Below are 26481 nucleotides of genomic sequence, written 5' to 3' on the forward strand. Positions count from 1 at the left end.
CTGGAGTGCAGTGGCATGGTCTTGGCTCACCGCAACCTCTGCCTCCCAGGTTCAAGCGATTCTCCTGCCTCAGCCTCCTGAGTATCTGGAATTACAGGTTTGTACCACCACGCCCACCTAATTTTTGTACTTTTAGTAGAGATGGGGTTTCACCATGTTGGTCAGGCTGGTCTTGAACTCCTGACCTCTTGATCCACAGCCCTGGACCCCCAAAGTGCTAGGATTACAGGCGTGAGCCACTGCACCCGGCCTGATTCACATATTTAACATAGATACTTACACGCAGTAAACATTAGGTATAGCAAATACTGATTTTTATATATTTTAAGGCTAACGACAGAAGAGGAAGAGAGAGATATTTCAAAGAGAAAATCTTTAGAAAATTCAACCAGAATCTCCTTCATATTGCTATAATCAACCATTTTTGTTAGTGATGTCACCTTCATGAGAATAAACATCTGTCTGAGTTTTAAACTTACATTTCCTAGTAGCAAATAAAAATCAGTATTTTACATAATGGTTATCACTGAGACAGAAGGCTCTTATTAGGAAACAAATCATTTAGGATATCACAATACAACTTTTTTTATATTATAAAACTTAAAAAAATTATTAAAAAATTATAGAACATTTCACAAATTTGCATGTCCTCCTTGCACAGGGTCCATGCTAATTTTCTGTGTGGCTCCAGTTTTAGTATATGTGCTGCTGAAGCGAGCACCAACATTTAATTTTTACATTGACAAAAGTAACTATGATTATTTAAATAGATTTAAATATCCTTAGGTTAAAAAAAATACACTTCCCAAAGCATATTGGTTTTCTAATTATCAAAAAGAAATTCCCAAAGAGCTTAATAAATTGGGGCCATGCACAAGATATTTACTAGTTCCTATAAACCTGAATGTGTGTGTTGGTCCTAATAAACTAATACATAAAATTTCAAGTGCATAGAGACTGTAACTAATCCAGCAGCATCCATTTCTTTTTAATTTCTTTAACTTAATAAAGCCCCAGGGTTTGATTTGGGCAAATGGCCACCCAGCTACATTTCCCAGCCTCCTCTGCAGCTAGGTGTGGCCAAGAGACCTGGTCTATGGGATTCAACTGGAAATGATGTGTACAACTTTAGGTGAAGTCCTTAAAAACGAAGCTGCTTCCTGCTGGTCCCCTCTTCCCATGGGCTAGTGGTAGTACACTGTCAGTGCACCAGTACCTGACAATGCAAACACGGTCAACAGCTCATGGTACAGCAAAAAGAGAGAAGGGATTGGGTCCTCAGATGATCTCAGGACTACGTATCAGCTCAGAATTTATGAGAGACAGAATGAAACTGTAAGGAACCCACTTAAACCACCCTTACTTGGTTTCTGTTAAAGCACTATTATACTTCCCAAACACCCAAAATATACTTTTGATTTTGGCTAAGAATATATAAAAGTGTGGCTGTTATGGAGTTACGGAGTCTGAATGTTTGTGTCCCCTCAAAATTCATATGCTGAAGCCCTAACACCCAGTGTGGCTGTATTTGGAGATGAGGCCTTCAAGAAAGTAATTAAGGTTAAATAAGGTCATTGGTTGGGGCCCTGAGAGCATTAATGTACTCATCAGAAGAGACACCAGGAACCTTGTGCATGCTCTCCTCCCACCTGCACATACTGTACTGAGGAAAGGCCATGCAAAGATACAGCAAGAAGGCACCTGTCTGCAATCCACAAAGAGAGCCCTCACCAGAAACTGACCCTTTTGGGCTGTGATCTGGGACTTCTAGCCTCCAGAACTGTGAGAAGATAAATGTCTGTTGTTTAAGCCTATGAATTTATGGTACTTTGTTATGGTAGCCTGAGCAGATTAATATGATGGTGATCTTATATTGTGAGGTTCATAAACTTTTTATAGTGTTCCTGCTGTGGTGTCAGTTGCAACTAGATTTAGCCAAGTCAGCTCTACTCAGAGTTAGCCTATCACCACCTCTAGCATGTAGGAACGGAGGGAGAAGTGGAAGTCAGTGGCTTTCACTTGTGGCTTCCCTAGTCTGACTTCTGCTCTGGATAAGAGAAGGAAAAAAAAGATCCAAACACATATTTCAAATCATATACTTCATACATATTCATATATTTCATATATTTTACCACAATTGCTATGGCTTAAAGGGGAAATAAATAAGTATATGTCAATAGTATTCCATGACCATATATTCCAACTTATTTCAAGAAAACATTTAGAAAAAATCAGTTATTTAAATGACTATTTTAGAGTTTCATATATGTAGACACAAGCCAAATAAGTTATTTAAAAATAAAATTTAAAATTAAGAATCAAAATAAACAATATTGGCTTTCTTAATTGCCAAACATAACCTCTGTTAACATTCAAAACTTGTAATTTTGCCCCCCTCCCCAACCCCCAAGAGCTGAATTGATATGACCCTGAAATATAGCTCCACCCATGCCTCAACCATTAGAGTCAGAGCAACTTGGCTGATAGGAGCTGTGGTTAGAGGAAATTTTCAGTGTATAAGCACTATGGATGCTGCCCATCCCTCAGCATTTACCACCTTCTGGCTTATGAAGCATTCGCATAAAAAGAGAGTAACAAAAAAGTTCCTTAAGAGGAATATTTATTTATGAGGGGCTTTTGTATTAAATGTTTGGATTTACATATTTACTACATATGTAAAAATGTGTATTTTATGTTATTTTTAAGATTTTTTTTTGTATTTATATTTTGAAGTGCTTCCAGTAGTGAAACCCAAAGTAATAACACTGTATGTACAGGGAATATGGAGAGGCTTTCAACTTCAGTCCAAGAACCAGTAGGAACATTAGTTGACAGTAATAGACTCTCAGTTGAGCTTACATTATAGGTGGGTAAACAATAACACAAAATAATTTCTGGCAGGTTCTTCTTCCGTCTCTCTAAAATTCCACTCTAGAGAGTTATTCTTTTGATTTAAAGCTTTATCTCTTCACGAAATGAAATTTGAGAGCTCACAAGGTGTTTACATTTTAGTATAAATGAGTTAATCAGTTCTATCTTCAAGTTTCAATCAGACAGCGATGAAGGGTGGAGGAAGTACTGTCACCTGAAGAGAGGACTACATGGGACAGGTACCATCAAAAGGGAAGGCTAGGGTGCAAAAGCTCTGCCACAACTCCAGACTAGTTTTATCCTGTAAATATTCAGATATTTTCCCAATACCTTCCCCATTTTGAAATCCATAATTTCGATTAAAGGAACAAATTTGTTTCATAAAATATTTTCCTAAAGCTTTTCTCATATCGTACAGAATCAATAACAATTTCATATGCTTAGGCATAAACAGCCTTTCCCCTTGAGTAATACAACTGTAAAATTTAAGATATACCATGTCATTATTCTCATATTTAAAATCTACTCCAGAAATCTAAATCCATATTTTTGATGATGAAATATTTAGAAATAAGAGAAATTTAAAACATTTCATGTAAATACCACACCCTCTGTAGTTAACTGACCCACTTCATTTTATCTGTCAATGTCCAGGTCCTGGGCAGCAGATTGTACTGAATGTTGTGACAACAGAGACCAAACCTCAGCAAGTAGAACACAAGGGAATCTTGAGCTCTAGAACTTTGGATGGTTTGATATTGTATTAATTTGCATTAAAAGTGAAAGTAGCATTCATGAGAGGTAGCTAAAATGAAAAAAATTTAAACAAAAAAATGTTTCTTGAACATTTGTTTCACCTCTTACTGTGTTGGTTGAAGCCTTTGTACAGAGTGTATGAAGAGTTCATCAATATTTTCTGAAAAGTTAAAACAATGTAAAGTCACTCCTAAAATGTGTACAGTAATTCCTGAAGTTTGATATTATTATAAATTGAAAAACTCCCTTGTAAATGGATGAAAAAATTATTAAAAAATCCTAGTTTTCCCTTACATTCATTTGTTTAAAATAAAAAAAGTCATGGTAAATTTAGAAATTTTTTCCTACCTGAAGATTCGAAGAGACAGAACTGCCTCGACTGGAGTCATTTTGCACAACTGGAAGTGAGTATTTCTCCTCATCTGATGACATTCTGCACAAATGCTCTAAAACAGTAGAAGCTAACTTTAGCTTTTTTCCTTGATATTTAAGATAAAATCCTTTCCAGATATATATAAGTGCAACAGTATCCAAATCTGCAATCTTCCTGTGATATGCTAAAATCATTCATTCAACATATTGAGTACCTACAGGCAAAAAATCACTGGGCAAAAAACAGTTGAAGACCCAGTCCCAATATTAGTGAGTTTATAACGTAGTCAGGTCTTCAGAAAAATCCCCAGCGGGGCCTGTTGAGCATAATAGATTGTGATCACTGTTCTTGAGCAATGTGTGACAACCTGGGTGCTGTGTACTTTCCTCTAAGACACAGAACCAAGAGAGAACAAACAATTTGTGCAAATTCCCTTCTTGGGAAACTTACCTTTGGAAATATTATTTTAAGAAAAGTGAGCTTATACAGAACAACAGAATCAAATATATGCATAGAGAATTTGTTGAAAGTCCTAATCAAAAAATCATTAAAAGTACTTTTAGTAACAAGTAACCGAATTATTCAAAGAACAAATAGTGACTATTCGAACTATCTGAATACCAGTAATATGTAAGACATTGGTGAGGAATGTAAAATGAAGTCCTCATTCTTAAGGAGTTTACAATCTGTAGAGAGGGCCAGGCATGTATATTATATAAGTGACCGACTGATGAATAAACTGCTGATAGGCCCTAAAATAACAGATACAAAGTAGAGAGATAGGAGTAGCTATTTTTCATGGGGTAAGATTGCATGACTGTAAATAAGCAGGAAAGGAGGCACAGAAAGTTTTTAGAGAAGATGACCCAGGTGTTGAGATCTGAAAGATGAGTAGGTCTCATCCTGAAAGATGGATAAAAGGTATAAACACAGGTGTAGATATTCTAGGCAGTAGAGCAATATAAGCAAAGACAGAGCCATGGACATGTATGCCACGAACAGCAAGCAGTTTGGTAAGGACAAAGCAATGGGTGCAAAGGATTGGCTAAGGATGAAACAAAAAGTAAGGAGCAGCCAGATCATGGAAGGTCAAAACTTGTCATATTAAAAATCTGGGTGTTTATTCTAGACAAGTTATTGAAATATTTTTTAAAAGTTACATGATCAGAAAGATCATTCCAGCAGCGTTGAGGATGAATTTGGATATTAAGAGAGATCAGGCTGGGTGCAGTGAATCATGCCTGTAATCCTAGCACTTTGGGAGGCTGAGGTAGGTGGATCACCTGAGGTCAGGAGTTTGAGACCAGCCTGGCCAACATGGCGAAACCCTGTCTCTATTAAAAATACAAAACAATTAGCCGAGCCTGGTGGCAGGTGCCTGTAATCCCAGCTACTTGGGAGGCTGAGGCAGGAGAATAGCTAGAACCCTGGGGGTGGAGGCTGCAGTGAGCCAAGATCGCACCACTGCACTCCAGCCTGGGTGACAGAGACTCCGTCTCAAAAAAAAAAGAGAGAGAGATCAATTGAGAGCTGACTGCAGTAGTCTAAGAGATAAATGTTCTCTTTGATAGTAATTAAGAAGATAAATGATGACCTAAGTCTAGGAAGTAGCAATGGGAAGGGGATGGAGGGTATGACTACAAGACAGTTGTGTTATGGTGATGGAAAGAGAAAATGATCAATAATAGATCAAGGGGTTAAAAAGAACTGTTGGTGGCTTCCAGATCTCCGGTTTGGGTAACTAGATGGATAGTGCCACTCACCAAGGCAAGGAAGGTAGGAAGATGAGCAGGTTGGGAGGAAGGACAATGAGTGCCATATCAGATGAGCTGGGTGTGAGGATGCCTCTGAGGCACTAGGGTAAAGCTGCAAGTATGCAGTCTGTGGTCACACTGGCTACGTAGTGCGCTACTCCAAGAACTGCCATTCACAATGGCTACACTGTGAATGGTGTTTCCTGGAGTTAAGCATTGTGGGAGCGCCGCACTGGAGGTATAAGTTGGAGATCCAGTTTGAGGAATCACTGGCATAATGGGAACTGCTGAAAAAAGGGAATGGATGAGACCACCTATAAAAAAGGAATGTGAGAAAAAGTTCTTATCCTGAGGTCCTGTATTAGTACGTTTTTCAAACTGCTATAAAGAACTGCCCAGGCCGGGCACGGTGGCTCATGCCTGCAATCCCAGCACTTTGGGAGGCTGAGGTGGGAGGATTACGAGGTCAGGAGATCAAGACCATACTAGCTAACACGGTGAAACCCCGTCTCCACTAAATACAAAAAATTAGCCTGGCGTGGTGGTGGGCGCCTGTAGTCCCAGCTACTTGGGAGGCTGAGGCAGGAGAATGGCGTGAACCCGGGAGGCGGAGCTCATAGTGAGCCAAGATCGCGCCGCTGCACTCCAGCCTGGGCGACAGAGTGAGACTCCGTCTCAAAAAAAAAAAAAAAAAAAAAGAACTGCCCAAAACTGGGTAATTTATAAATAAAAGAATTTTTATTGACTCACAGTTCCGCATGTCTGGGGAGGCCTCAGGAAACTTAAAATCATGGTAGAAGGGGAAGCAGGCACATCTTAGATGGCGGCAGGTGAGACAGTATGTGAGAGAGTGCAGGAAAAACTACCATTTATAAAACCATCAGATCTCGTGAGAATTCACTATCATGAGAACAGCACGGGGGAAATCGCCCTTATAATCCAATCACTTCCCTTCCCCTACATGTGGAGATTACAATTGAAGATGGGATTTGAGTGGGGACACAAGACCTAACCATATCAGGTCCCTATACCCGACTCGTATGCAATATTTTTATCATAAATGTGAATGTGTATTTTTCTAGAAAGAAGATCTTTCGCTTTAAATATGCGTTCAGAGGGGACCATAGCCCTAATAGAGTTAAGGACTACGACTGTGAATGAGAAGAGGGTTAAAGCCAGAACCACTAACATCTAAAGGGCAAGAGAAGAACAGTCAGCAAAGAAGAGGAGTCAGCAAAGGAAGTCAGAACATTAGAACTATGGAAGCAATATCACAACTTTGAGAAGAAAATAGAATTAGATGCCAAAGAACCATGAGGATTGGATAGAATTTGGAGATTAGGAGGTTGCTGAGACGTTTGCTTGAACAATTTCACTGGAAAGTAAAACAATTACAGGTCTTAGTCACAGTGGGCTGAAAAATAAATGAGAGATGAGGAAATTGAAATAGAAAAGGAAGATACAGGGAAAAGTGCAAAAATAGAATGGAAACACAGGCTGGAACTAAATTGTGGAAAGGAAAGTTCAACTTTTTCCAGTGAGTATCACTGTGCATACACATGTTAAGTAAACTAAATCTCAGCATGACTGTCTTTAGTTAAGCCAATTAGGGAGGATAAAATAAGTGCATGTATCTGCAGCAAGGAATGGCTGCTTCACTGACTTCAAATCTACCACTGTGATAACTTGGTCCATTTATATTTTTATTCACTTCTTCCTTCAGGATTTGAGACCAGGCAGGTAACAGGGGTGGGGGGGGGGGGGTGCTGATTATTTAAAAATGAGCTAGTAAGTATGGTCAGATCTCAAAAATTGTTTCTTAATATGGACACACTGCAGACACAAAAAAACCCACCGCACTCTTGGAAAATATGCTATCTTCCATCTGCCCTGCTTTATGTCAACAAGGTATGAGTTATTTGAAACTCTAGAACAGTAGCATTTTCCTTACTGTTTCTAGGTTCAGAAACAAAGGAGAAAAATGAAAACTGCTTTAATGGGTGGCGGACGCACATTAGTTCACTACATTTTCAGTAGTCTCTAATCCAAGGTATCAGAAAACAAGATCAAAACTTTTGTGTGCTTCTCTGTTGCCAGAAACATAAAATAACATCTTGGTAATTATCTGGCTGACAGCAAAACAGGGGTCTGGGAATTCAAATGGAACCCCCAAGAGGCAAAGGAAGAGCGAATTAACATGCAAACTAGCAGCAGGGTGATGTCGCCTGTGCCTTTCACCAGGCCTAGCTGCACTCAAGGAAAGGGGCGCGCCAGCCCCTCCCCAAAGCAGGGACTAGAAGCAGAGGAGAAAAGCCATTGCAGTAAGCAAAAGGCCATAAGTTTTCTTCCATCACCTTCCGACCCAGCCTGTTTTAAGAAAAATCTTACTTAAGCACAACAGAGCTTTATACATGGTTATTTTTTCTCAACGTTTTAAGTGACCGGAACCTCTGATGACAGTAATCGCTCAGCATCCCTCACTCCTGCTCACTTCCTCTTCCTGCACGCCTCGGAGGGGAAACTTTGGGACCTTCCGGCACAACAGCTGAATCACTCGCGGTCTGGGGAAGAGCCCAGGGGGAGGAAACACGCGCCAAGGAACTTTAAATCTCCCTCCACTACTTTCGCCAGGGATGCAGGGACGCAGGATCTGCCCGGAGCGCTGCTACCCACCGTCGCCGCTCGCGACCAAATCCCGACTCCTCGCTCTGCGCCTCTTAGCCGCGTCGCAGCTGCAGTGTCAGCAAGTGCAGCCTCAGCAAGCACAACCGCTACCTAGACGGCAACCTGACAGTTTCAAACTGCAGGGAGGAATTAAGGACCGCCCTGGGCATTGGTCCTTTGTTTCAGCAATCTGCCGTTTGATTGGTCCGAGAGCTGGGGGCGGGGATTTGGGCCGCTGCCGGGAGAAGCCGGAATTACTTTGGAGAGCCCCGCCCCCTGGCTCCGCAGGTTGGTAGGGGGCGGGGTCCTAGGGAGCCCCACCCAGCGCCCGTGGGGATTAAATATTGCGCGTGCTCAGTTCTGTTCAGCGGCTGCAGGCTGCTAAGCGGCTCCGGGAGCTGATTTGGATAGAGGCTGTTGAGCAGGGCTGAAGTTGGCTAATGCCGTGTGCTGTTGGCTTTCAACAATTCCGGTAACCTAGATATGAGTCCTAATGCTTTCGTCTGCATAAGAACAATCCGAAATTCTGGGCCAGGTGTGGTGGTTCATGCCAGTAATCCCGGCACTTTGGGAGGCCGAAGTGGGAGGATCGCTTGAGCCCGGGAGTTCGAGACTAGTCTGGGGAACATAGGGAGACCCTTTCTCTATAAAAAATTAAAAACAAAAAAAAAATCTGCATCATCCACAGATCCCCTGCAACAGAATCACTTGGAGGTGCTTTTTTTTTTTTTGAGATGGAGTCTTGCTCTGCCGTCCAGGCTGGTGTGCAGTGGCACTATCTCGGCTCACTGCAACCTCCGCCTCCCAGGTTCAAGGGATTCTCCTGCCTCAGCCTCCCGAGTAGCTGGGATTACAGACGACCGCCACCACGCCTGGCTAATTTTTGTATTTTTAGTAGAGATGGAGTTTCACCATGTTGGCCAGGCTGGTCTCGAACTCCTGACCTCAGGTGTTCCGCCCACCTCGGCCTCCCAAAGTGCTGGGATTACAGGCGTGAGCCACCACGCCCGGCCGAAGGTGTTGATTCCTTCGGTCATGGACACCGTCAGGAAATCTGAATTTTTAACACACACTGCCAGTGATTCTGATGCAGGAGTCTGCAGACCACCCTTTGAGAAATTGCTAGTCTAGGCTGGGCGCGTTGGCTCACGCCTGTAATCCCAACACTTTGGGAGGACGAGGCAGGCGGATCACCTGCGGTCAGGAGTTCGAGACCAGGCTGGCCAACATGGTGAAACCCCATCTCTACTAAAAATACAAAAATTAGCCGGGTGTGGTGGCTTACGCCTGTAGTCCCAGCTACTCCGAAGGCTGAGGCAGGAGAATCCCTTAAACCCAGGAGGCAGAGGTTGCAGTGAGCCAAGATATCGCCACTGCACTCCTGCCTGGGTGATAGTGAGACTCTGTCTCAAAAAACAAAGAAAAAACCAAAATTGGTAGTCTAGTTTTAACTAATCTCAAACGTGTCAGACTTCAAGATAGAGCCTTCTGGTGAAGTATTGGCCTTAGAATCAGATCATAATTATAATCTAGCTTTACCATCTACTCGCTGTCACCTTGGATAATACTACTCACATACTAAGGTGGTAGGAGATTAAAGGAATTAATATATCTAAAACACCGAACACACAAACATATAGTCTTTCAACTTACATTGGCAACAGATAGGCTAGAGGTATGAGGACCCAGATGGCAAAGGTACCTAAGTAGCCCAGACTGGGGTTCTGCAATCTGAAGAACAGATACTGAGATCTGGGTGAGTTTTCAGGCTCCCTTCTGTTACCTCCAGTATAAGGTTTCTTTTTCTGTAGATAGAAATGACATAACCTGGGTCTCACTTACTTTTATGTTGGCAGAACCAGACTTCTACTTACACAAACAAGTAAGAAGAGCACCAGAAGTTTCTTTGGCATAAATTATGTTTGTTCTCCCCCTTTTTTTTCATGCTTATTATAGAGGACAAGTTCCTATTAATAGCTGCAAATTCATACTTGGTTCTAGTATTTGTTTTTTAATTGAATTGCCTTTTGGTGACCCCATACACTATAATTGATACTGAATCACTCTTCTGGTGCCCTCCTGCCACTAGGCTCCAAGTTTCTCTTTTCTGTCTTCCTTTTTGGGGAGGAGAGATTTTTATCGCAAACCATTTAGTAAACAATCCCATTCTCCTGTAAAACTATAGAGAGAAAGAGACAGAACCTTGTCTGGATGTTATGAATTTAGAACTGATATCTTTTCCCAAGGTTCCTAGAGAGGGAGGGAAAGAGAGAGAGAGAGAATTTAAAGCCCCCACAAACCCATAATAACTTGGTTGCCAGCTTGAACCCTTCATAATTATTTATTCATTCAACACAAATATTTAACATCTGTCACAGGCAAAGCAAATTTTTGTTGGTGCTGGGGATAGAGTGGTGAGCAAAACACAGTTTGCCCTCATGGAACTAAGAGTCTAATGGGAAAAACCGATATCAAACCAACAAATCCACCACACATATGAATACATAACAGCTGTGTGAACCTGGGCAAGCTGCATAACCTCTCTGTACTTCGGTTTCTGTATCTGAAAAATGAGGGTAGGAATTCGCTCACTGAGAATTAAATTAACGTAGGTGCTATTCTTATCCTCATTTTTCAGATAGAGAAACTGAAGCACAGAGAGGTTATGCAGCTTTCCCAGGTTCATGTAGCTGGTAAGAACAGAGTCCATGTTCTTATCACTCAAGATGTTCTGTTGGGGACGGCATGCCATGGTCTTAAGGTAAGAAAGGGCTAAGTGAGTGAAGAGAAAGTGGCACAGGATGAGGCTGCAGATAGAGATGGAGGCCCAACTATGCAGGACTTGTTAAGGATTTGAGATTTTAAGTTCAATGGGATGTATTTTAGATATTCAGGAGAGAGATGAGGACAACTTGAACTAGACGAGTGGCAAAGGAGATGGAGAGAAGACAGAAATGAGATACAGTCATCACTTGCTATTCCTAGGGATTGGTTCCAGGACCACTCCTGATGTCTTCCCCTCCCCCTCCGCCAAAGTAAATACCAAAATTGAGGATGCTCAATTCGCTTATATAAAATGGTATAGTATTTGCATATAACCTACAGACATCCTCCCATGTACTTTAAATAATCTCTAGATTACTTATAATACCTAACATAATGTAAATATATGTATGTAAATGGTTGTTATATTTTATTGTTTTTTATTTGTATTATTTTTTACTTTTAAAATTTACTTTTTTGAATATTTTTGATCCACGGTTGGCTAAATCTGCTGATGTGGGACCTGAGGATATAGGGGGCCAACTGTATGTTTTGGAGGTATAATTGGTGGGACTTGATGATAGGATTTGGACTGTATCTGAGGTGAAGGAGAGAAAAGTGTGAAGGACTCCAGGTTTCAGGTTTCTCGCTTGAGCAACTGAGTGGATGACAGCATCAGATATTGAGGAGAACACTGGAAGAGGAGCAGGTTTTGAAAGTGGAAGATCAAAATTGAATTTTAAACATTCTTTAAACATGAAATATCTGGAGATACCCAAATGGAGTATCCATCAGACCACTGAACTTACATGTCTAGGGCTCAGAAAAGAGGTCACTGCCTAGATATATAAACTGGGTGGCTTTTGCATATAGATTTTGTGGAGGATTGCAAAAATGGCTCCAATTCTACATCTCTCCAGGTATTGATGTCCTGTGCCATGCAATTTCACTTGGAGTGCTTCTCTACTAATGACCAACGGAATGTTAACAAATATGATGCAAGCGGAAGTTTCAAAATACTTACGTGCTTGGCTTAGCTTGCTCTTGCCCTCTGTTACAACGATGAAATACGCCTGGGCTAGCCTGCTGGAAGATGAAAGACACATGTAGTAGAGCCAAGTTGCCCCAGTCATCCTAGCCAAGGCCATCCTAGGTCAGCCTATAGCCATTTGACTCCCCAACAGGTGTGTGAATCTAAGAACCACCCAGACAACCTACAGAGTCATGAACTCAATTATTATTGACTGTTTAAAGTCACTGTGTTTAGGGTGGTTTGTTATGTAAGCTTATTATGACAATAGATAACTGATACAGATGCACTTTAAAGCCAAAGAACTAGATGAGACAATCTAGTGGGGGAGAGCAAAATGAGTAGAGAAGAGGATTTGGAACTGAACCCTGATGTCCTCTAATGTTTAGAGGTTGGGTAGCAATGGAGGAGCCAGCAAAGGAGACTGAGAAGGAGGTGCTGGAGAAGTGGGAGGAAAACCAGCAGAGGCTTCAGTAAAATGCTAGTGAAGTGACTATTGTGTTTGACAATATGGAGTTCCCCCATGTCTTGGCCCTTCCATGGGCCCCAAGTTCTGAACCTCCTCTAGTACCTGTCTTCTTTCCATCTCTCATGTTTTTGGTTAAGCCACTGCTGAATTTGGCTTGGACTGTTTCTTGATTGTATGCCTTCATTTCTTCTTTCTACAATTCACTCTTCACACTGCTGATAAACTATCTTCTTAGAATATCACTGGATTGCATCACCTATCCAAAAGCCTTCCACGGTATTGCATGGCATCCAAAGCTCTCCTAAACCAAGCCCCACAAAACACCAAAAGGACTATGCTGGAGTCCCCAAATGTACCACTTATCAGGTAGGAAACTTTGGGGCAGGTGTACATTCTTTATATGCTTGAGTTTCATCTCTTTAAAATTGAGAAAGTATTAGAACATATAAAATCTAACTCTACATCTAAACCAGGACCTGAACGTAAATCTATTGTCTCTCTCTCTCTCTTTTTCTGTCTCTCAATATCAGTTCCCTCCTGCTCTAGTAAACTAATTGAAGCTGAGCATATAGCTGCATAGCAGGACTACCTTTTCCACCTACCTATCAATTAAGTGAGGCCAGAAGCCATAGAATGTGAGTGGAAATGCAGTGTATCACTTCCTGTGAACTGGGATTTAAGACATTAGGTGTCTTTCTCCAAGTCTTCTTCTCTTTTCCCACTATGGTGGGCTGCATGACCATGTGGAATATAACTCTCCTGCTAGTTCTGTAGTATGAGAAAACATCTTTTTAAAAAAGTTTTTATATTTGAGGGTCAATTTTTCATGGCTTTTAACTAACACCACATCTACACCTCTACAGATGGGTATATAAAGTTGTTGAGAAGTAATGTATATGAAAGCACTTTGCAAAATTTTAAAGTAAGGCAGCCAAGTGAGGTAGAAAGAACATAGAATTTGGATTCTTAAGATCTGGGATCCAGCCTTTCCTAAGATATAGGCCTAAAGTTAAGATGACTTTAGGCACCTGTTGGAAAGCATCTATTAATTTCCACTAATATGATTATTAGTTGAAATTATTATTATAATATTAATAATATTAGTGGAGAGAGTTGATACCTATGTTATTTTTGCTGGACATTGTGTTAGGGCACTGATTTGAAACCTGTTTCTTTTTAAGGTCATCCATGACTCACTTAAAAATCCTTCACCCTATTATCTCTTCACCCTATTATTTGTTTAGCTGGGACTTTAAGAGAACATTCCTCATTCTAGGGATCTTTAACACTGATGACTCTTGTCCAGGGTAGCAACCACAGTCTAGTCTATTACTTTCATTTTATGAAGGAGGAATTTAGACCAAGAGGGATCTATGTTTGCTATCTTTGAGCTGGAAATCTAGTGAGAGAGAGAGAGAGAGATCGGAAGTGGGAGTGGAGATGGGTGCAGATTTTAGGAACAGGGCTGTTACTAGTGCCTACATCTAGGTAGAGGCTGCCATGATGTTCCTTAAAAATTTGATTTAAAAAAATATAATTTCAACTTTAATTTTAGATTCAGGAGGTACATGTGCAGGTTTGTTACATGAGTATATTGCATGATGCTGGGGTTTGGGATATGAATGATCCCATAATGCAAGTAGTGAGCATAGTACCCAATGGTCTTTCAGCCCTTTCTCCCCACCCTGCCAGTAGTCCACCAGTGTCTATTGTTGCATCTTTACACCCATTAACACCCAATGTTTAGCTCCCACTTATAAGTAAGAACACACAGTATTTGGTTTTCTGTTCCTCTGTTAATTTGCTTAGGATAATGGCTTCCAACTCCATCCATGTTGCTGCAAAGGACAAGTTTTAATTTTTTTTTTTTTAAGAGGTGGAGTCTTGTTATGTTGGCCAGCCTGGTCTTGAACTCCTGGCCTCAAGTGATACTCCCATCTCGGCCTCCCAAAATCCTGGGATTACAGGCATGAGCCCACCATGCTGACATGGTTTTATTCTTTTTTATGGCTGTGTAGTATTCCATGGTGTAGATGTACCACATTTTCTTTATCCAACCCAACATTGAAGGACACCTAGATTGATTCCATATTTTTGCTATTGGGAATAGTGCTTTGACAAACATATGAGTACAGGTGTCTTTTTGGAAGAACAATTTATTTTCTTTTGGATATATACCCAGCTATATATCCAAAAGAAAAAATCTATATATCAAGTAGGAAGGTGTGCAAAGATCATGGTAAATTAATTTTGACCAAGTGGCTCACAATACAGGTCCCAAGTAGAACTCCTGTAGTTAGACTACACAGTCTTTTTACAACCTCTTCACACTCTGAGAGCCATTTAACTGAGGCGGAGCAGAAGGAAAAAGACCCTATCAATAAGGCAAAAACGCAGAGTAAATGATGGTTATTATGGACACAGTGGTCTACATATGAGGCAGTTCACCACTTTTCTGTGGATTAAGGGCTTATTCAGAGTATTTTGATTCTCTGGATTCTACAGGCCTGGCTCTGTTATTGCAGAAGGGAGTTCATTTCTTGGCCCTCATCACCAACCTTCTGCTTTTCCTAATTATAAACACTCATTCTTGAACCTCTCTAATAGCATCTTCTAGCCATATAAAAACTTCCTTACCCTTAGCATTCTTTCTCCTGATAAAACAATCTAGCATGAGGTGTGAGAGGCAGGATTAATTAGCTTTTCAGAGAACAATATTACTGAGTTTGAGTACTATACAGATGCTGTATTCTTGGATCTTTAGGGCTTCTGAGGGTGAGTTTGTAGATCAGGGTCATTCAGCTCAGTAATAAGAATTTACGCATTCTAAATTATGACCCTTCTTTCCTTTCTCCATTCTTCCCTTTCATTTTTTTTTTTTAATGGAGGGAAGGGAAGAGAGGCTAGATCTAGTATTTTAAAGCAGATTTGAAATGTTGTGGAAGAATTTGTTTCCTGTCTTTGAAAGCACCATTCTAATTGCTTTTTTGTAGTTGCCTTTTGTGTGTGAGGGGTCATGCCAATCAATCCACCTCACATCTATAAACATGTCCCAAAGCTTAATTGCAGATCTATTGTTTGTAACTTGAAATGCATTTTCCTACAGAAAAATGAAAGTATTATAATTCCAAGGTCAGCTCAATTATGAGTCCATAATAGGGCTGAAACATTGTTTGCAAGCATTGTTTGCAGTATGGTAGAAAACTATACTGTTGCAAGGCTAGCAGATTTAATGAACAGGAGGAAGAATGCTAAATGAGAAAAAAGCTTACTGTATTTTTATCTTGAATGCCGATGAAAAAGAAAAATGGCAATATGGTAGGAGTGGTGATATGCTTATTTACTTAGAGGAGGCTACAAAAAGTGTATTGAATTTAGGGAATTGATGGGGAGGTGGCAGGAGAGGAGTAGACATGATGAGCTTAGTAGGAAACAGAAAGTGTTTTCTGCTCTGAGACGTATCCTGTGTCTACCACGCTCCCAGCCCCTTTGGAGCATCTGTACCTCCCAATCTCACACAAGTTACTGTGTGAGTTAAAATATTAGTCTCCCTATACACAGCCTGCATGTGTCTTAATGTGTCTCTCATTTCACAGTCTGTGGGAGGATAGGTAAAAGGAGATTGGGGATCCCAGGTCATAGTCTCCATCTTGTAGCTCACCAGTTGGGGTCTATTTTAAGTCTGATTAATGGAGATACTAATCTTCATTAGCAAGGTCTTCAAGTGACTTGTCTTAGTGGAATAAGTGTGGCAATAAGAAACAGAAAACTCAATTTAAATGGCCCTGAATCCGTCCATTAGCACTCAATATAAGAAACTGGTAAAAGGATGAATTAGTATCGCCAAAGTAAATGACCATCTTTGCCCAGTGCATTTGGCAAGTCAGTATGCTGAGACACTGGGTTGCAGAAGAGAAAGAGATTTGATTGTAGGGCAGACAAATGAGGAGATGGGAGGAAATCTCAAATCCATCTGCCCAGGAGTTTGGGGCTAGGGTTTTTAAAGGTCTTGGAGTGGGCCAAAGTGTGGAGATCGTTGATTGCTTGAAGAGTGCAAGGTGAAGTCATGGGATAGGGAGATGAAGAAACTGTATTCTCATGCTGATTCCTCTGTGAGGGTCTTTGAACTGTTTCCCTGGAACTCAGGATCTGAAAAACTTCTTAAGCAATCCTTAAACAGAAGCTTTATGATTCTAATGTCAGCAATTCTATCAATAGGAACAGTGGGGATACAAATGGTCAGTATCTAGTGACTTTCAGTTACAAGGAAGTGGGCCAAAGTGCAGCCTGATTAATATAATTATATTTCTGTCTAGAATTCTTGTTAACCCTGTGGGAGGATGGCTTATTGACTTTTCTTTAAAAATTTTTTTTAAAATTTTTAATTTTTATGGGTACATAGTAGGTATATATATTTATGGGGTGCTTGAGATGTTTTGATACAGGCATGCAATGTGAAATAATCACATCATGGAGAATAGGGTATCCATCCCATTAAGCATTTATCTTTTGTGTTACAAACAATCCAATTACACTCTAGTTATTTTTAAATGTACAATTAAGTTATTGTTGACCACAGTCACCCTGTTATGCTATCAAATAGTAGGTCTTATTCATTCTTTCTATTTTTTTGTACCCATTAACTGTCCCCATCTCCCTTGCCAGCTCCTCAATACCCTTCCCAGCCTCTGCTAATCATCCTTCTATTCTCTATGCCCATGAGTTCAATTGTTTTGATTTTTAGATCCCACAGATAATTGAGAACATGCAATGTTTGTCTTTCTGTGCCTGGCTTATTTCACTTAGCATAATGATCTCCAGTTCCATCCATTTTGTTCAAATGATAGGATCTCATTCCTTTTCATGGCTGAATAGTACTTCATTGTGTATATGTACCACATTTCCCTTATCCATTCATCTGTTGATGGACATTTAGATTGCTTCCAAATCTCAGCTATTGTAAGCAGTGCTGCAACAAACATGGGAGTGCAGATATATCTTTGATATACTGATTTCCTTTATTTGGGGTATATACCCAGCAGTGGGATTGCTGGATCATATGGTAGCTCTAGTTTTAGTTTTTTTGAAGAACTTCCAAACTCTTCTCCATAGTAGTTGTACTAATATACATTCCCACTAATAGTGTACAAGGCTTCCTTTTCTCCACATCCTCACCAGCATTTGTTATTGTCTATCTTCTGGATATAAGCCATTTTAACTGGAGTGAGATGATATCTTTGTGGTTTTGATTTGCATTTCTCTGATGATGAGTGATGTTGAGCACCTTTTCATATACCCGTTTGCTATCTGCATGTCTTCTTTTGAGAGATGTCTATTAAAATATTTTGCCTATTTTTGATTAGATTATTAGATTTTTTTCCCATAGAGTTGTTTGAGCTCCTTATATATTCTGGTTATTAATCCCTTGTCAGAGGGGTAATTTGCAAATATTTCCTACCATTCTGTGGGTTGTCTCTTCACTTTGTTGATTATTTCCTTTGCTGTGCAGAAGCTTTTTAACTTGATGTGATCCATTTGTCCATTTTTATTTGTAAACCTTTATGGTGAACTCTGATGAAGAAATGTGCTATTTTATATAAATGTTTATGTTTAACTTTGATGAAGAAATGTACTATTTTATGTTGCAGAAGCACAGCCTTCTGTTGAATGATCTTTTAGAAGGAAGTCCCTTTCCTGTCTTGAGTCTTCATAGAATTAGCTTGCTTTCTTCTAAAAATATCTGCCCATCACTCTTATTTAGAATTCTTCGTTTTCTGAGACTGTTCATATATTAGGATGTTCTTTCCCCAGACTCCCTGTTTTTTCGTTTGCTCCTAATAAAGAATAGACTGTCTCTTCATTGAAAGATTTTTTAAAAAACATAAATAAATTATGATAAATAGATTGGAGTATAAAAACCAATCCGTTTGTATAAGTTACAAAAGTTCCTGAAGTGTCAAAAACCCTCATAGTAATTATTAATCATTTTCAATTTCCTGAGTTCTCTTCTGAGGTGGTAGATACTGACTCCAGTTTTTAGTTTGCGAATCAGCTTATATGTCTGGTGTATGTGCCAAACTAGTCTTACTGTAGCCTGGAGTTGATACAAGTTAGTTTTATGGATAGGTCTGAGAGATGGTCCCTTTGAGAATGTCCTTTCAGTTTCTACCTTGCAGGAATGGGTTATTCTTACCCCCATATGTTTCATTCCATTTTCCTCCCCTATGTAAACTTCCCCTCACCCAACATTGCTTGGGTCTCCTGTGTTCCCTAGTGTGCATCAAACTAACCTGTGTTGACCTAAAAGGAAGAAGCTTAAGCAAAATTAATATAAGTAGAGAGTTAATTTGGGCCAAGTTTGAGGATTGCAACCTGGAAGCATAGATTCAAGTTGTCCTGAATATACATTCCAGATAATAGCAGTTACAAGTAGATTTTTAAAGGCAGAAAGAGGGGGCAGGGAGTGGGCTGATACAAAGTCATCTGTCAGGAATTCTCATTGGTTTACAGAAATAACATTGACTGGTGATTGGCTAGACGTTGTTAAACTATAGGGTGTTGTTTATAGTGTCCGGTGTGGCATTAGGTTAATTTATAGCAACTTGTGGCAGTAGCAAGCAGTTTCAAGAGTTGAATACATAGCTCAAAGAAGGGAGTAGGGTGTGATTGCTGTCTCATTTCAATGCCTCTCTGGGCCTAATAATTTGAAAAGGCTTACATTCCTCAGATCAACCTTTTTTTTTCTTTCCTCACCTTGACAGTTTACTAGGACATGGGTTGCTGGGCTTCACTTTGGGAGTTTCTGATTAAGCAGGTTTGAAGTTGGGCCCAAGAATGTGCATTTCAAACAAGTTCCCGTGTGATATTGATGCTTCTGGCCACAGGGCCGCTTTGCCCTAGGTCAATTAGGGTCCTAGCTTCTAGCAAGAGCAGTATTCTCTGTGGCTCTAAGCTTCAGCATTGTTCACCCTATCACAATCAGGCCTCTCTGTAACTTTGCTCTAGACACTCCAAGCTTCATAGCTGGTTCCCTGGAGGTTGAAGTCAATTTCCTACTTAAACCCCAAAGACACTTTTCCAGACTTCTGATTGTAGAGTCCAGTTCTGACAGCTGTGCACGTTGGAAGTCTCCAGGGTTCTGGGCTTTTCAAGTCTCAACCTCTCTTCATTCCGGTTCCCTCTATTCGTTTCAGTTGCCAGCAAATACACCCCACTGAAGCTTAGCTTTTCACCTCCTCTTCTAAGTAGCACCTAATCCTAATTCATTCATGATGGGTGTGTGATCCTGAGAGCCATTTAGTATTTCATCTTTTCCCTCCATAGCTTAGCTTAGTCCATTTTGTGTCGCTGCAACAGAATACCACAGCCTGGATATTTTATAAAGAAAGTGATTTTATTTATTACAGTTCTGGAGGCTGGGAAGTCCAAGATTGAGGGGCGGGCATTTGGTGAAAGCCTTGCTGCATTAGCCCATGGTGGAAAGTGAAAGGGCAAGAGAGTGAAGGAGAGTAAGAGGGGGCCAAACTCGCCTTTATAACAAGGCTACTCTCTTGATAACTAACCTACACCAGCAATAACAACATCAATCCATTCCTGAGAGCAAATCCCTCATGACCTAATCACTTCCTATTAGGCCCCACCTGCAACACTGCTGCGTCGGGGGGATTAAGTTTTCAACACTTGAACTTCAGGGACACATTCAAACCAGAGCATAGCTTTTAGCAGATATTCATTGCCTGCCTCAAAGCTGCTGTAATTGAAGGTGGGGACTGGGTTCCAGGGCTTACTGTGGCTCCTAGATCTGTAAGTTAAGGTACGTCCCATGTGCTATTCCATTACTCAAGACATTGATCTTTCTCCCAGGGAAATGGTTTTGCGGAAATGCAGTTTCAGGCTGATAGCAGCTTTGGAGTAAAGCCAAGGTCTCAGTAATATTTCTTTTATTTGTTTCCCAACAGTCTGACAACAAAGCCTTTGTTCTCTAGAGAAACAGATTTTGTGTGTGTGTGTGTGTGTGTGCGTGTGTGTTTATTATAAGGAATTGGCTCATTGGCTCATGCAATTATGGAGGCTGAGAAACTTTACAGTCTGCCATCTGCAAGCTGGAGACCCAAGAGATCCTGTGGTGTCCAGTCCAAGTGCAGGAGAAGACTGATGTTCCAGCTTGAAAACAGTCAGGCAGAGAGAATGAATTCTCCCTTTTGTTCTATTCAGGTCTCTAAAGGATCAGATGAGGCCCACCCACATTGGGAAGGGCAAGCTGAGACTAAGTCAGCTGACTCAAATGTTAACTCTTCCAGAAACCCTCAGAAACTCACCCAGAATAATGTTTAACCAAATATCTGGGCACTCCATGTCCCAGTCAAGTTGATACATAAAATGAATGATCACAGCCTTACTCCTAACTAATTCCTGTTAATCATAGGGGTTCATATAAATGAATAGTCACACAGAGCATCTTCTCAGGTACCATGATAAGCTTGCCATATTTTCCCTTTCCTTCAGGATCGCCCCCTTCTCAGATGATCTGCTGCTCACCTCAGATACCTACAGAGACTCTGCTGGTGCCTGTCAAAGGTGCTGTCACCTCCCACTCCCACAAAAAGTGCCGCTGCTCTCTCTCATCTGCTGAAGGTAGCACTGCTGGAAGTCTTGTATGGAAGTGGAAGATCTGATGTCTTTGCTGAATGTATTAGCACCTCTGGTTGGCAAGGTTGCTAGTGTTCCACTCTGCTGATGCAGGCACTGGTGGTGGCATTGATGTGATAAAGACTTCAAAGCACCAATAGGTTCTCTACTGAAGTGGAAAGGATCTTTTTATGTCTTTTGTCTTATATTTCTACCTGGGCTCCAAAGTCATGCTTCCTGGTGTTGCCAGTGAGCAGGGAGAATTTAGTGAAGAAGCTTTTTGCAGAGATGACTAGCTGTCTGCTAAAATTCCATTATGTAGAATAAGTGCCAAGAAGTAGCCACACACACATTAAAAAAAAATTCTGAGCCCCTGTACCCCACCTTTGCATTTAGTGGAGTCATAGGACTAGCTCACACCCATGTGAACAGAGCTGATGTGTCTCATTTCTGGGCCAAGGAGTTTAAGAAGTGGGGTTTGTCTCCTTTACATTCTCTTTTTCCTCTTCTGCCAGCTCTAATACCTCAAGGAATGTCAGAATATGGGACAGAAGGAGCCAGGACATCCACCTTGCACTGTTCTGGGAGGAAGAAATACATTTTCTGGCCTGCGCAGGGTGGCTCACGCCTGTAATCCCAGGACTTTGGGAGGCTGAGGTGGGCAGATTGCCTGAGCTCAGGAGTTTGTGACCAGCCTTGGCAACACAAGGAAACCCCATCTCTACTAAAATACAAAAAATTAGCCAAGTGTGGCAGCGCGAGCCTGTAATCCCAGCTACTTGGGAGGCTGAGGCAGGAGAATTGCTTGAACCCAGGAGGCAGAGGTTGCAGTGAGCTGAGATCATGCCACTGCACTTCAGCCTGGGCGACAGAGTAAGAATCTGTCTCAAAAAAAAAAAAAGAAGAAATACATTTTCTGTATACTTAAAAATAATTAAAATGAGGAGATCGAGACCATCCCGGCTAAAACGGTGAAACCCCGTCTCTACTAAAAATACAAAAAATTAGCCGGGCGTAGTGGCGGGCGCCTGTAGTCCCAGCTACTTGGGAGGCTGAGGCAGGAGAATGGCGTGAACCCGGGAGGCGGAGCTTGCAGTGAGCCGAGATCCCGCCACTGCACTCCAGCCTGGGCGACAGAGCGAGACTCCGTCTCAAAAATAAAAAAAAAAAAAAAATAATTAAAATGATAAATTGTATCATTGTATTATGTGTATATTACCACAATTTTAAAAATTACATTTCTACTGTGACAAGTTGCTGAATATTTGAGGTCTGTTTGTTATAGCAGCTAACTAATGTTACCTTAACCGATTCTCAGTTGCTTACATTTGTTCTCATTTAGGGATTCATTTATGGAATCTTGGCACAAGCCACACACAGAGTGCACTAAGAGCAATACTCAAAATTTCCTTTCTTTTTTCATGTTGGCCCTTTGCCCTTGATAAGTCTTTTAGTGCCTGCACTGCCTTAACACTCCTTTAAATATCTTTCTAGAAAAAGACTCTTGAGTCTTGAGATATGTAGAGGTCATGTACCTGCTAGAGTGCACATAACTGCTTCACAACTTTTTTTTTTGAGACGGAGTTTCGCTCTGTCATCCAGGCTGGAGTGCAGTGGCAGGATCTCGGCTCACTGCAACCTCCACCTCCCAGGTTCAAGCAATTCTGCCTCAGCCTCCCAGGTAGCTGGGATTGCAGGCACCCATCACCACGCCTAGCTAATTTTTGTATTTTTAGTAGAGATGGATTTGTCCATATTGGCCAGGCTGGTTACAAACTGCTGACCTCAGGTGATCTGCCCGCCTTGGCCTCCCAAAGTGCTGGGATTACAGGCGTGAGTCTCCCTCTGTCGCCCAGGCTGGAGCACAATGGCTCAATCTTGGCTCACTGCAACCTCTGCAAGTGATTCTCCTGCCTCAGCCTCCTGAGTAGCTGGAATTACAGGCGAGTACCACCACGCCCAGATAATTTTTTTGTATTTTTAGTAGAGACGGAGTTTCGCCATGTTGGCCAGGCTGGTCTCCATCTCCTGACCTCAAGTGATCCGCCCACCTCGGCCTCCCAAAGCACTGGGATTATAGGTGTGAGCCACCACACCCAGCCTGCTTCACAAGTTTTAACTCTGTTACTGTTGATGATGTACCTCACAGACCCGCCAGTCATGCCACATGTGAATCTTGAGTGAGCAATTTAAGTTTGAGTTTCTTCCTAGAAAATAATAAAATGCTATAGGAAAAACAGATGTAATTTCCAGAGAAAGGGCAGAGGACTTTCTTACATTTTTTTGGGTACTCAGTCCAAAAAGTACTTGGGTGGTTGCTATCCATCAAGCAATGTGCTAGCCCATTTCACATATATTTTGCTACTATAATAGTTGATACAAAGTTCTGCATAGTTAAACCATAGGACCAGAAGGTTATACTAATAATAAAAATTTGGTTTGAAAATACTTGGAGAGGCCGGGTGTGGTGGCTCACACCTGTAATCCCAGCACTTTGGGAGGCCGAGGCGGGCAGATCACAAGGTCAGGAGATTGAGACCATCCTGGCTAACACAGTGAAACCCCATCTCTGCTAAAAATACAAAAATTAGCCAGGCGTGGCTGCGTGTGCCTGTAGTCACAGCTGCTAGGGAGGCTGAGGCAGGAGAATGGCGTGAACCCAGGAGGCGGAGCTTGCAGTGAGCCGAGATTGCGCCACTGCACTCCAGCCTGGGCGACAGAGTGAGACTCTGTCTCAAAAAAAAAAAAAAGAAAATACTTGGAGATCTGTGATGCAATATTAACTGTTATTTTATATTACAATACTATATTGTGCATGTATCTCTAAATTATAAGTATTACTTTATACAGTGTTGTTTGCCCTTTAGAATTTTTACTAATAAGAAAAAAAACAAATACATAAAACCAGATCAAATAAAGGTTATTCATATTCTAGAAATGCACCAAAAGAGAAATGACATTTAAAAATGAGATTTTGCATTCCTCCTCATGTCATTTTTATTCATCAGGATACAAAGATAAAGAATCTTAACACTTGTGTAAAACAAGCTCGATCATGTCCGTTTAACAATTAAATAGATTTTGTTAATATAAAAAAAGAAAACATTTTTTAAAGTTATGGGTTGAGTGGGGTGCAGTGGCTCCACCTGTAATTCCAGCACTTTGGGAAGCCAGGGTGGACAGATAGCTTGAGCCAAGGAGTTTGAGACCAGCCTGGGCAACACGGTGAAACCCCATCTCTACAAAAAAAAAAAAAAAAAAAAAAAAAAATACAAAAAGTAACCGGGCCTTGTGATGCATGCCTGTAGTCCCTGTTACTTGGGTAGCTGAGGCAGGAGGATCCCTTGAGCCTGTGAGGTTGAGGCTGTAGTGAGCCGTGATGGCATCACTGCACTCCAGCCTGGGTGACAGAGTGAGACCTGTCTCAAAAATAAATAAATAAATAAAGTTATGGGTTGATAGAGTTTTATATTTAAAAAGCATTTTGCATAGGTAATTATTCAACTTACATAAATCATTATTTTTGCAAGATGAATGTGTATGTGTTTTAGTCCATTCAGGCTGCTATAACCAAATATAAACTGAATGGCTTATAAACAACAGAAATTTTTTACTCCTAGTTCTGGAGGCTGGGAAGTCCAAGGCACTGCTGGATTCAGTGTCTTGTAAGGGCTTTCTGGTTCACAGATTGTGCCTTTCAGCTGTGTCTTCACATGGTGAAAAGAGCAGCCAAGCTCCCTCAGGTCTTTTTGATAGGGCACTAATCCCATTCTTGAGGGCTCCATCCTTATGACCTTATCACCTTCCAAAGACCCCAACCTGCTAATACCATCACCTTGGGTGTTAAGATTTCAAAATATGTATTTTGGGGAGACATTCAGACCACAGCAGTATATATTCAAAGACTATTCTAATAAAAATTCAAAGGTTATTGCTTTATTTCTTGTTACATTGAACATTTATAAAATTTACGTATATACCCTGAATCCGAAGAAAAACATGCCAGTAACATATTTGATAAAGGCAAAATTTAAATTCAAGGGTGCATGATAGCCCTGTCTAGACTAAAATTCAAATAATTGAAATCACCATTGAAGATGTTGATAAAAAAAGTACAATATCAAAGCATTAATTTTACCGTAAGAATAAAAAAGAGGATGATGTTGATTTGCTGAATTTCTAAGAATCAGCGGTCACATAGATTATCTGAACATCTTTTTAAAAAAGCTTGAAAAGTGAACAACTATTCTTTTATGTCTGGTGAATATGTAATATATATTTATGTAATATGTGTTATGTGATAATGATAATATGAATATTTAATAGAACTTATTTAAAGTTATACATCATCCTATCTTAATAAAATTTTGGAAAATTTATTTGGGTGAGTTTTTTGTCTTTTGTTTTTTTGAGGCAAAAATGATTTGAAGAAAACTTAGTAGCAGAAATGCTACCAAACTTTATCATTCATGATTCACTTTTTAAGGAAAGAAAAATGTAATTGTTTTAGTATTGCAAATTAAATATATTTCACCTTTCTAATAATCAAATCCTAATCACAAATGACTGTGAAAATTATAAGTTTTCTCTTGTATATTTTGCTGATAAAATAAGAGAAAAGTAAAATAAGACTCATTTTTAAACTAGAGGCTTTAATTTATTATTATTGGTATATATTTTTCCCCATCCTCCTCAATTCCCTTATCTCTGCCTGCAAAGTTCCAAACTTCTTTTAAGGTTATCCCAAATGCCACTCCCACTAAGAGGTCTATTTTTGGGTTTTGTTTGTTTGTTTGCTTTTATGTTATTTTTCGTGATCTCTTCCCCTCTAAAGCATATTGCATGCTTACCTCGTGTTATATTCTGCCTTTAATTACTGGATACTCTAGGGCAGGGATTGTCCCGTCCTCATTCTTGTGTCACTGATGGCACAAAGTACAGACCTTAAGTTCGGTGAGCCCTAAGTAAACATTTGCTGAATTAAAATGCTAAAGACTTATGATTTCCCCTTCCTCTATAAAATAATTTGTGTTTGCTGTTGATCCAAACCTCTCTCCTCATTTTATGTAGATCCACAGATTCTTCAAGAACAAAAGTCAGCCTGTGGCATGACAGTAATGCCGGGTCAGTGTGTCGACTCTGCTCTGGTAGCTTCCAGAGAGCTGAAGAAAGT

At 40.5% G+C, this 26481-nt stretch overlaps 1 protein-coding gene, 1 long non-coding RNA gene and 1 pseudogene across 11 annotated transcripts in view, besides 1 other annotated feature; 1 reads left to right on the forward strand and 2 right to left on the reverse strand.

Moving 5' to 3' along the window:
• Positions 1-8559, reverse strand: part of POC5 (POC5 centriolar protein) — a 43314-nt gene extending 34755 nt beyond the window's left edge. For 5 of the 10 annotated variants that reach the window (XM_047416725.1, XM_005248436.2, XM_011543158.3 and 2 more), the window contains exons 1-2: positions 8428-8559; positions 3976-4073 (exon numbers count right to left, since the gene is read on the reverse strand). In XM_047416725.1, coding sequence (XP_047272681.1) covers positions 3976-4059 — 84 coding nt within the window. In that variant the 5' untranslated portion in view covers positions 4060-4073; positions 8428-8559. Of the gene's footprint in view, positions 1-3497; positions 3555-3728; positions 3783-3975; positions 4074-8427 lie in introns of those variants that run through there. The other 5 variants (XM_011543160.2, XM_024454363.2, XM_047416726.1 and 2 more) reach the window with 4 other exon arrangements.
• On the reverse strand, positions 617-721 carry RNU6-680P (RNA, U6 small nuclear 680, pseudogene; annotated as a pseudogene).
• Positions 7955-8264: an enhancer, noted in NCBI's record as "active region_22684". NCBI's record gives its function as "activates an Ori minimal core promoter by ATAC-STARR-seq in GM12878 lymphoblastoid cells {active_cell/tissue: GM12878}" and the evidence as "EXISTENCE:reporter gene assay evidence [ECO:0000049][PMID:35858748]".
• Positions 8554-22092, forward strand: LOC441087 (uncharacterized). Its single transcript, NR_149046.1, has 3 exons — positions 8554-8706; positions 11057-11179; positions 21186-22092. It is a non-coding gene; the product is annotated as an uncharacterized LOC441087 (long non-coding RNA).
• Positions 22093-26481: the final 4389 nt, after the last annotated feature.

Source organism: Homo sapiens, chromosome 5, assembly GCF_000001405.40.
Source record: "Homo sapiens chromosome 5, GRCh38.p14 Primary Assembly".
Classification (NCBI taxonomy): domain Eukaryota; kingdom Metazoa; phylum Chordata; class Mammalia; order Primates; family Hominidae; genus Homo; species Homo sapiens.